The 12,353-nt window shown below is 36.3% G+C and overlaps 1 protein-coding gene across 2 annotated transcripts in view; it reads right to left on the bottom strand.

Moving 5' to 3' along the window:
- MRPS31 (mitochondrial ribosomal protein S31) overlaps window positions 1–12,353 on the bottom strand; it is a 42,063-nt gene that overhangs the window by 16,560 nt on the left and 13,150 nt on the right. Inside the window, exons 4-7 of one of the 2 annotated variants that reach the window (XR_007063654.1) lie at window positions 11,186–11,326; window positions 8,332–8,405; window positions 6,586–6,782; window positions 3,518–3,594 (exon numbers count right to left, since the gene is read on the bottom strand). Coding sequence is in view for 1 of the 2 variants with exons in the window: in NM_005830.4 (NP_005821.2) it covers window positions 3,451–3,594; window positions 8,332–8,405; window positions 11,186–11,326 (359 nt within the window). In the remaining variant the exon portion in view is untranslated. Of the gene's footprint in view, window positions 1–3,450; window positions 3,595–6,585; window positions 6,783–8,331; window positions 8,406–11,185; window positions 11,327–12,353 lie in introns of those variants that run through there. The other variant, NM_005830.4, reaches the window with a different exon arrangement.

The following is a 12,353-nucleotide window of genomic DNA, read 5'->3' on the forward strand; positions in this document are numbered from 1 at the left end:
ATAGTTCAAATTACCACTTTCTTCTTTCACGGATCATGTTTTTATGTTGTATTAAAGAAGCCAACCCCCCAACAAATCCTCCACCCCCATAAAAACCAACCTTAGAAACACTCTGTTACTGGGTAGGCATAAATGTGATTAAATTTAGTTAAAATCAAAGTAGAGGCTAAAATAAAAATGTATCATTAACAATCCAACATATAAAACTAGTGCCAAGTCTAAGTGAGAACAATTCCACCTAATAGCGCTTGTAAATCTCCATGCAGGCAAAGCACAAGGGAAGGGACTAACAAGTCCTTGAAACGGAAACAGAAAAAAAGCTATTCTCAATTGGAAAAATAATTTATATGCATTAAGTGGCAAAACAACAAACCTTAATTTTTTATATAATGGAAAAACACCATACTGCGAACTAAATTGTAAACACGATATGTCACTTTGTCATTTTCAATATTATGTTCCAATACTACTAAAAACAAAACAAAACATCTTTCCCCAAAAGAATCCAAATAAATCTTCATAAAGCTAATTATTAGTAGGGAAAGAAAGGTATTTCATTCATTTCAACATTTAAGTATAAGAAATATAAAAGAAAGTTATTGAATTGTTGAGGCTTCAGGTTACAATGCCAGTTTCTCAAAGTACAAGTTTCTAAATGTGTACCCAGGGCAGCGATCAAAGTAAGAGTTTCCATAGTCCTTTCCTGTTTTTACTTCAGGTAACAACTGCCTTAAGGAGCTGAAAATGAGTTACTGATCACCTCTTTTCCAACTCTGAAATATCAATAATATGCAGTGTCATGTGGATAGCTGTCACATTTATCTCCCCAACCTGACCAAAAAAACATGTTTCTCTCCTTTTTTAGAAATTAAATTTTCTCAGAAACCAGGTCAAATTTAAGATAAATTCCGTTGGAATTTGATCACTCAAGATTTTGATGCACTTAAGTGTTTGACTGCTGATGACAACATACCATGAGTTCGTGCTTTCCTAACACCCTATTTGGTGGTTCCCAGATAATACATACTATCCTTGCTAATATTTTAAGATTTAAAATGTTCCAGTATAAAGTAAAATTTTGAAAAATAAAATGTTACAGTATACAATGGAAAACAGTTACAGAAGCAAACCCCTTCACAATGTTGTTGCTGTAGAAACAGGGATGGTGATGGTGATGATGCTTTACTTGTTTAACCTCACTTAATTCTCACACCAATCTTGTATAATGAGTCCTATTATTATTCCCAACATTTTAGAGATGAAGGAAGTAAGGCTTGGAGAGATCAAGTCTGTAACTTACTCAGGATCTGGAACTTCTAAAACCACTATGCTTCACCGACTCTCCTGAATAAAGTCACATTATTATACCTCAATACTGTTTTTTTTTCTTTCTTTCTTTCTTTTTTTTTGAGGCACAGTTTCGCTCTGTCACCCAGGCTGGAGTGCTGTGGCACGATCTTGGCTCACTGCAACCTCTACCTCCTGGGTTCAAGTGATTCTCCTGCCTCAGCCTCCAAAGTAGCTAGGATTACAGGCATGAGCCACTGTGCCCGGCCTAATACTGGGTTTTTAAATCAGGTTTTTAACCATGAGGATTTGGAACACCCAAGTTTCTTCAAATAATGAAATCCAAACATGTTTTCAGAGTAAACCAAATCTTTCCTTAATATCAGATATTATTTTACAGAGAGGATACTGATACCCAGGAGCTTAAATAATTTCCTCAAAGGCAAATGGCTAAAATGGACAGGGCTGCTACTCAGGTTTGTACGACTAAAAAGGCGTTGGTCTTTTTACGTTACCCTGATACCTTCCAGAACACAGAAACCATACTTTAAGCAATATACAGTTTATGTAATACATGAAACACAGTATGCTATATTATTGCAGGTACTATATGAATATACAGGCCAGGTGCGGTGGCTCAAGCCTGTAATCCCAGCACTTTGGGAGGCCAAGGCGGGTGGATCACCCGAGGTCTGGAGTTTGAGACCAGCCTGGCCAACACTGCAAAACCCCATCTCTACTAAAAATACAAAAATTAGCTCGGGAGGCTGAGGCATGAGAATTGCTTGAACCCGGGAGGAGGAGGTTGCAGTGAGCCAAGATAGCACCACTGCACTCCAGCCTGGATGACACAGCGAGGCTCCATCTCAAAAAACAAAAACAATACGAATATACAAAATATTAAGAATTTGCTAAAAGAATCTCTAAGTCTCTGAAGTTTTCCTATAAAAAGTAACACTTTATGTTAATTATATTATTTACATATAAGACTAAATATTTCTGATACTTAAGCTTCCATTCCAACTATTAATCCAACAAATAAAAGATTATCAAAAATTAAGATATTACAATGATACCATAACATTATGAAGGTTAAAATACAGACTACATTTTCCTAAGACTTATTTAGGCTTTTCCAACTTCTAGCTAATCTTACCCTAAAAGTAAATGAATCTTTTTTTGTTTGTTTGTTTGTTTTTTGAAATGGAGTTTCACTCTTGTTGCCCAGGCTGGAGTGCAATAGCGTGATCTCGGCTCACTGCAACTTCTGCCTCCCGGGTTCAAACGATTCTCCTGCCTCAACCTCCTGAATAGCTGGGATTACAGGCATGCACCATTATGCCTGGCTAATTTTGTATTTTTAGTAGAGACGGTGTTTCACCATGTTGGTCAGGCTGGTCTCGAACTCCTGAACTCAGGCGATCCGCCCGCCTCAGCCTCCCAAAGTGTTGGGATAACAGGCGTGAGCCGCACCCAGCCATAAATCTTTTCTAATTCAAAATACATCTATAAATTCAATTAAAATGTTTAGCTGATGACAACATGGGTATCATAAAAAATAAATAGCATAGTAATACTGTTTTTCTTCTGATTTAGGAAGAGGTAACATCTCCAAAAAATATCCAGTAAAGTAGATGATATTCTGTTGCCAGTTCAAAGCACCTATATTATGCAGGCAAAGATTTCCAAAGCATACTGTTTTTACTTTCACTGGCTCATACAAGTTCCTTGCACCTCATTAATGCAATGGTTTTATGACTAAAGGACACCAGCGTGAGACTTTTAAGAGTTGTAATGTTCTCCAAAATTTAAGTATAATCTTATACACCTTATTTAATTTATTGAAGATTCACCAAGTAATATCCTGTTTAGCGATTAGAAAACTGGTATCATTTGCAGTTCTCAGTCCTTTTACGTCATAGAAATTCATGATGGATTTTTGCCATATAGTTTTACTTCTTCATTTTTCCTTATCGAATATCTAAAAATAAGTGAAATTCCAACATCTTTTTTAAAAAACCTTGTCAGATTTATTTTAGGACACCATGAAGATATCCACAAAAGGTTTTGAAATTCATGTAAGTATCTATACTCTAAAAGTAAATATCTGGCAGAAATAATCTCAATCAATACGTTTTATAATCCCCTGAAATTAACACTTACCTGCTTCATTGTTAATTGGGAACTCCCATAGTTTCCCCTCTTTTGTCCACTGGATCAGCTCTTCAAATCCATTCTGAAGGGGTTGTTCATTTACTGTGGCTAACTGCTTAGCAAATTCCACATCCCAAAGTGAAGGTGATGTGTCTACATAATAAAGACATTTTAGATAACAACAAGTCAATGTAAGTATCTTTTTTTAAAAGTTACAACCAATCCTGAATTGACCATGTATTTTTCAGACCCTGACATTCATAATTAAATAGTATATAATAAAAAGTTACTGAGAGATAACTGCAAAAATTATATTAAAAATTGTAACTACAATAATGGCAAGCTTAACTTTTGTTTTGCAACAATGCCAGGTAATCACTGCCCCCTCTACTGGAAAGAAAAAAATAAATTTGTATTTTGTTTAAGGGTATTTTTATGAATGTGAATGTTTTTTGTAGAATATGTGACTTTCATTTTTAAAGTCTAGCCTGTTTATCTTTATTTTTAGTCTATCGAAATTAGTCACAAATGTACTACTGTTAACAACCAAAGAAGTTAAATTAACAGAATAACAATAAAACTGCTAATGAATACTGAGTACTTCCTCTGCGCTTAAATGCATTTTATGCATTAGTGCATGTAATCCTCACAACAAACCCTATGAGTAACGTATTATCATGTTGGCTAATTACCACTATCAAATTACATGTTTCAATAACTTATTTACTTTTGAAACTTCAGATCATCTTTTGAAAATGAGCCATATTCTCACCAGTTACTGCTGCTGGGAACATAAAATGGTACAACCACCTTGGAAAACAGTTTGATAGCTTCTTAAAAAGTTAAAATATATCTATTATTCAACATAGTCGTTTCATCCCTGGATATATTCACCCAAGAGATAATACATGTCCATACAAAGACTTGTACACAAAAGTTAATGGCAGCTTTCTTTGTAATAGCCAAATGTGGGTTGTAATTTGGGAAACAACCCAAATGTCCACTAACAGGTGAATAGGTACAAAAATGTGATACAGCCATGCAATTGTATACTACTCAGTAATAAAAATGCGTTACTAGTACATGTAACAGCATATGGATGAATCTCAAATCATTATGCTGAGTCAAAGAAGCCAGATGCAAAGGAGTATATACTATGTGATTTCAGTTATGTACAGTTCTAAAAGATGCAAACTAACCTATTGTAACAGAAGGCAGATCAATGGTTGCCTACATACTGTGTGTGGGGTGTGTGTGTTTGCGTGTATTGCAAAAGGACACAAGGAAACTTTGGAGGGTCATGAAAATGTTTAAAATTATAACTGGTAGTTTCATGGGTGTATATATTTGTCAAAATTAGTCAAGTTATATACTTCAAATATATGCAATCTGTTGCACACAAATTACAACTTAATAAAGTTGTAAAAAGAAAATGAATATCAATATCTATCCCTTGGCTACCTTTTCCCCTATATTTTTATTCTTTAGTTATTTTACCAACATCTTTTATCTTTCTTATTTTTTTCTGGGTGATATCACTTTTTAAAATAAATGAGGATCGTATAGTTTGGTAATCTACTTTTTTCACTGAATGCTTGCATTAGTATCCCATTTTATATATATATATATATATATATATATATATTACATATATATGTATCACAATCCCTTACTATTCAATATTTTGATCATTTATATATTTTCTCTTTTAAATACTATAGTGACAAATATCCTTGTAGTTACACTTTAGCGCGTATCTGTAATATTTCCTTAGAACAAATTCCTAGGAACAGTTTCCGGGTTAGAGGCATAGATTGCATATGACCTATCCTCCAGCTTACCTCTTTACCCACTTTTGCCAAGCCCCCACTAAAGCATATCAACAAATAGCTCAATTACTCTTCTACCTGGGTAAGCCTTATTTTATCTATTTTGCTTTTTCTGAATCTATTTCTATGAGCCTTTATGTGCAGAAATGTATCTAGCCACACACTGACTGCTAGATATTTGGCCTAGATCATCTGATACTGGGAAACAATCAGTTGTTAGCCTTAACTAGCCACATTTACAGAGCAATCACATCAAAAATAACTTAATTGTCTCAGTTATCTTTTACTTGGTGGTCACTGACCCACCTATGTCTTTTCCATCATCATTAGGATCATCACTATATTTTTACACTTGCTAATATTTGTAAGCATTTGTTAAATATGTACTATGTTCCAGGCACTGTGCCTGACACTTTTCTCATATTACCTCACTTAATCTTTGAGATGTATGTAGTAGCCCTCATTTTATAGGTGGGGAAAAGTTAGTGTGGCAGAATCTGAATTTGAATCCAGTTCTACACAACACCAACACTCTTTCTGTTAAGCTATACTGCCTGTCGACTCTAGGATAACCAGTAGGGCCTATGAGTATATCCTTTGTAGCAGTGGTAAGAACTTAGTGGGGAACAAGACATGGGAATCATGGAACAGAATAACTCATTCAATCAGTCAATAAAAAAATTACTGAATGCCAACTGTATTTCCAGCATTATTTCAGGTGGTGGGAAAACAACAGTGAACAATTGCTAAATTTACGTTTCCACATTTTGCTATTCTTGTATTTAATTGGGAACAAAAACCATTCTTTAGACTCATGCAAGTATAGCATATTTAAACAGTACCTTCATTAAATTATTAAAGTTGTGTGCTATTTTCCTAACTAGAGTATAATAATTTGATACTGTTTTATAAAATATATAAAACTTCAATGCTTCCTTGCCAACTAACTTCAGTTTTAGAAATAAGATTTTTTTATTTTAAAAAGTAAGATGGTTCCTTCAAGACTCTCAAGAATCTTCAAGTGCCTCTTTTGGCTGGACAACAGCAGCTGCCCTGACAACCAATTTCTTTCTTTCTTTTTTTTTTTGAGACAGTTTTGCTCGTCACTTAGGCTGGAGTGTAATGGTACAATCTTGGCTCACTGCAACCTCCGCCTCCTGGGTGCAAGTGATTCTCCTGCCTCAACCTTCCGAGTAGCTGGGATTACAGGCACCCGCCACCATGCCCAGCTAATTTTTGTATTTTTGGTAGAGACAGGGTTTCACCATGTTGGCCAGGCTGGTCTCAAACTCCTGACCTCAAGTGATCCACCCACCTCAGCCTCCGAAAGTGCTGGGATTACAGGCATGAGCCACCGTGCCCGGCCAAGAAATTCCTTTCTGATGCACGCTTAACCATTTGAGCAGGGAAGAGGCGATTCCTTGTCCCTACGCATTTTGCACTTCCTTCTCATCATACACAAGAGAATGCAGTTTTTGTAATATAAGAAGGGGGTTGTTCTTTTAGCTTCACCTTCAATTCAAATGAACAAACACTGAATTAACTTCTTTCCTCTACAGATATATATTTTACAGTACAGTTTGTTCAAAAAAGAATTTAAGATTTAAGACACCTAGTTCCTATGATCTGTAAGCCACATGAGTAGGTGCTACATGAATGAGATATAGCCCCTAATAGTCTATTAAATAGAGGGAAAATCAAAAGTTCGTATAAGTAACTGTAGAAAGATTAAATGAGCCTTTGGAGGCCCGCCTAGGAACTTATCTATCATATACAACATTCTTTTTTTTTTTCCCCTTCGAGATGGAGTCTCACTTTGATTCTTAGGATGGAGTGTTATAGCACAATCATAGCTCACAGCAGCCTCAAATTCTGGGCTCCAGTGATCCTGCCACTTCAACTTCCCAAGTCACTAGGATTACAGGCATGCACCACCATGCCTGGATAATTTTTTTCTATTTTTTAGAGAAAGGGGCTATGTTGCCCAGGCTGGTCTTGAACTCCTAGTCGCAAGCCATCATGTTGTCTCAGCCTCCCAAGTCCACATACAACATTGTTTCTACCAATATCCAAAAAACTAACTTATTTTCTTTAGAAATGCTCATCACTTATACACTAGAGACCATTTGTATTAAGTTTCTTCATTTATTTTACTAGTAAACTAAATTTAATGTCAAGCAAGAGGACACTCTTATTTCTCTTTTAGACTTAAAATGGCAAATTTCTTACCCAAAGAAAACACTACAAGTCTGTTAAATATATTCCTTGAATGTTCTTCCCATCTCCTAAACAATCACTAAGTCACTTCAGTAAGTTATTTTGTAAATGCTGTCTCCTCTTCTAAGCTGCCTAAGGGCAGGAACCAGTATATCTTTATGTAATAGCATAGAGATACACTGTAAATGGTAGTTGATTATTATTGTTCTAACTCAAATTAGTAGCTAATCTGGACCTCTGGATTCGGTAATCGGTAGTACTTACCTCCCGCTGTCTCACAGAATGCAACATTTCAAGGGGGAAGCCTGACCGAAACTAGCAATGTTGACAACTGTAGTAACCCCCACCAGGTTACTTAAGAGTGTATGTGTGTTGCTTGGATCCTGAAGGCTGAGCAGGGAGCCAAGGCCATGGTGCCTAGCTGAGGAGCAGGTGTCCCTGAGAACCCAAACATCCCAGGGCATACCTGGGAACATATCAGGTAACAGTCATCGCGCACACAGAGTAGGCAAACAAAACATTAGCTGAAAGGCTGCTTAGAGATGGGAGGCAGGGTGACTCTAGAGCTGCTCAGGAATGTCCAGTATGTAATGTAAGTTCTAGTAAACTCATCTATTCATCAAGCTGGACTTGCCCAAATTATTCTTTGGTCTCTTGACGCCTTCCCAGTTTAGGCGGACATTACAGTCCCAAGTTTTCCTTGTAACAACCGCCACATTCATAAGCAGGATCCAGGCCAATGACAGAATGGAATATTAAAATATCCAAACTATTAGAACACTAAGGACATCCTGGAACGATGGAATGTTTCTCCACCTGAGAAAGAGTGTTATTCTTAACAAACCTGTTTCAGGTGCTTCTTTAGTAACTGCCATCATGTCAAAAATATTAAGTCTTTTCCCTGTGAATATATTTTTCCTAAGTCCAAAAAAAGAAAATAACATTTTAATGAATATATTTTAAACTGTCAACAAAAACTATGAGAAAATATCTTAAGTGAAATATTCTATGTAGAAATTAAAAATTCCACTGACCCACATCAAAAATATTAGCTAAATTGCCACATTTTTAGGACTGATAAACAAAAAACAGAAATGTGCACTTGAAGTTTTGCTTCATAATACAACAAATCAATTACAGCAATTTCCAAAATACCTAATTGAAAAGATTAGCTTAATTTGCCATAATTTTTATTTTTTCACGTTTATATTAAGGTTTTAAAAACTCCATGTTGTGAAAAACTATAACCATGCCAAAATAGAAGCTGTTAAACTCAACATTTGTCTTTAAGGGCAGAAAACACTGCAATGTTTAATTACAAATTATAATTATAAAAGATTGCATTGGTAAATCACAACATTCCCTTTCATAAGGCAATCATTCTGTATTTTAAAATAATTATTAACTTTCTTTACGTGACTATTTTTAATTAACTATTGAAATTAATATCAGAGAGTTAATAGGTAACATTTTCTTACACACTTGATAATCAACTGCTTTATGCATCAATTCACATATTTACTTGAATACATTTACTGGCAGATTAAAATCCAGTTTATAAACTGGATGGCTGGCCAGGCGAGGTGGCTCACGCCTGTAATCCCAGCACTTTGGGAGGCCAAGGCAGGTAGATTACCTGAGGTCAGGAGTTTGAGACCAGCCTGGCCAACATGGTGAAACCCCGTCTCTACTAAAAACACACAAAAAAAATTAGCCAGGTGTGATGGCAGGTGCCTGTAATCTCTGCTACTTGAGAGGCTAAGGCAGGAGAATCCCTTGAACCCAGGAAGCAGAAGTTGCAGTGAGCCGACATTGTGCCACTACACTCCAGGCTGGGCGATAAGAGCGAGACTCCGTCTCGAAGAAAAATAAAAAATAATAAACTGGAGGGTTAGTTTTAAAAATAATTTTGAATTCTTGTTTTTTTATAAACTAAATTACTTCTCTCTACTAAATAGAAATAACTGGAAAAATGCAAATACCATATGAACGTTAAATAATGTGATCTCAAATCATATAATCTTCCCTCTAACAGGTTCCAAGTTATTTGTAAACAAAGGCTTTTACGCTCCATAACTCTCTTCAGTGCCTTGCATTCTTCTCCCTCAACCGCACGTCTGATAAACAGGATGGTGGATTAAAGCAAGTCACAGCAGAGGGCAAATGCCTTGATAAAGTATTGAATTTCAAAAGAGGAACGTACTACAAAGAGAGGGAATGGACATTTGCTGAGCACCTACTATGTACCAGATAGTTTACACGTGTTTCTTTTCTATTCCTTAAGAAAGCCATTTAAGCTAGGTTTCACTTTCAGCATTTTATAGCTGGGGAAACAGCCTGATGGAGGCTATAAAAGGTGCCCCAGTCACAGAATTAGTCAGTGGCAGTGCCAACATTCTGAGGCAGGCCAGTGTGAACTGTCAATCTCCAACAGAAAAAATCAATCCAGGCCTGGGTTGTCTGGGGTTGATATCCCAGATCCTGCCCCAGTCATAGCAGGGTGAAAAACTTGGCGTCTCACCATTGCTTCCCCTTACTCACCTCTGGCTGGCTTTTTAACACATTGAAAGCACAGAAAACCCTTTCCTACTTGCTTCTAATTTTTTAAATATTAAATATCAAATCTAATATTAAAAATCAAATTATAATATACCATCCTAATGTAGTTGCACAGAATCATGTCCAAGATGAATGATTCAGTTAAATATTCTCGAGGATTAACTGATTCAGTTAAATATTCTTAAGTAAAACTCCAAGTACACCTTCTCCTTTATTCAATAATATGTAACAGATGCTAAATCACTTTAAATTAGTAATTCAAATAATCTTCCAAAGTCACCATAACCTCTTGAACTTCCGGTGTTAACTGCTGACCACCTTTTCCAACTTTCCTGTATAAATCATTAATTTAACACCCAGAAAGAGTTAACTCAAGTTTCTGATTTTACTTAAAACAAATCCATGGAATATACAATGCATTGAAAACACTCCAGTTGTGAGCATATCCTGCTACAAAGACAAGTTAATTTTTGTCAGACCATGCCAAATATCTGGTTCCTCCTTCCCATCTATCACTTTCAGGGTTTAAAGAAGAAAAAGAACAGAAACGTTATGCAAATACAGAACAACTTTAGATTCTAAAATAACTATGTAAGGCATGGCTCAGCATCTTTAAGAACTTCAAATCAGTAAATTCAAATGGCCACAAATAATCTACCATTTTAAAGTGTTATATAAACTTTTTTCCTCCTGCCTTTCCTTCTTCTCATTGATGGTGGGTTATTTCTCTAAGGTATACCAACAGATAAGCACGTATTGAGATATAAAGGCTATATGAATACACAGTATTAGACACTTATTTTTAAAATGAAAAATAATGTTTCTCACAAAATACTTATTTGCTCAGAATTCAGTCAGCTCCGCTTACTCTAAATGAAAGGACCCCTATTCATCGTGGGTAGATGTGAAGCATGGCCCGTTTTGATTTCAGGTATGGAAAACTACAGGACTGGCTAAATCCAGCACATGGTTCCCTCTCTAGGAAGTGGTATACAGAGAGTAAGAACACAGATGTAAATGTATTCATAATGTTCAGATATCCAACAGCAATAATACACACACACACAATAAGGTAAATCTACAGTTAAGGTAAAAACAAACTACACAAACAAAACCCAGCAGATTACAAAGCCTGATACCTTTTTTTAAGATCATCCGTCTTCTCCTGGCCAGGATAATTGTCATAGCCTTCATCAAACTGAATCCGAAGCTCTGGTCTTGAACGAACTCTAGCTGTAGCAGATCTGGCAACTTTCATATCTGATATTATGTTACTGAAACTGAAATAATAAAAAGGTCAAGTGTATTAGAAATCTTAGCTACAGAACAGTAATAAACTTCCTTTAACAGGAGACTTGAGATCATTTAATTCTTATTTCATTTTTATGCACTAATTACACAGCATAAAATGTTTAAATAAAAAATGTCGCCTATTAACATTCACATAACACAGAACATTACAATTTATGTTTACTTTCATCTTTTAAAGATGTACTTCAGAAATCTTCATTTAAAACGTAAGTGTCTCATGAAAAATTATTCAGAGAAAATGATAGGAAAGTAAAATCAGTATCTGTTATACCTATCACCTACATCCAATAACTAAATTAAAACCAAGAGTTAGCCATATTTATTTGTTGCTTTTTATTTGTTCAAATACAAATAAAATGAGTCACTGAACTGACAGTCCAGATATCTATGTCTTCCTTTTTTTTTTTTTTTTTTTTTTGAGATGGAGTTTCACTCTGTTGCCCAGGTTGGAGTGCAGTGGCGCAATCTCGGCTCACTGCAACCTCTGCCTCCCGGGTTCAAGCAATTCTCCTGCCTCAGCCTTCCGAGTAGCTGAGACTACAGGCGTGTGCCACCATGCCAGGCTAATTTTTTGTGTTTTTAGTAGAGACAGGGTTTCACTGTGTTAGCCAGGATGGTCTTGATCTCCTGACGTGGTGATCCGCTTGCCTCAGCCTCTCACAGTGCTGGGATTACAGGCGTGAGCCAGTGCGCCTGGCTTTTTTTTTTTTTTTTTAATTACAGTTTCTTGTCTCACACTATTGCCCAGGCTGGAGTGCTGTTGTGAGATCACAGCTCAATGCAACTTCAAACCCTGGACTTAAGTGATCCTCCCAAGGCCGGGTGCAGTGGCTCACGCCTGTAATCCCAGCACTTTGGGAGGCTGTGGTGGGCAGATCACAAGGTCAGGAGATCCAGACCATCCTGGCTAACACAGTGAAACACTGTCTCTACTAAAAATACAAAAAAATTAGCCGGGCATGGTGGCGGGCACCTGTAGTCCCAGCTACTCGGGAG

The sequence above is a fragment of the Homo sapiens genome, chromosome 13, assembly GCF_000001405.40.
Source record: "Homo sapiens chromosome 13, GRCh38.p14 Primary Assembly".
Taxonomy (NCBI): Eukaryota; Metazoa; Chordata; class Mammalia; order Primates; family Hominidae; genus Homo; species Homo sapiens.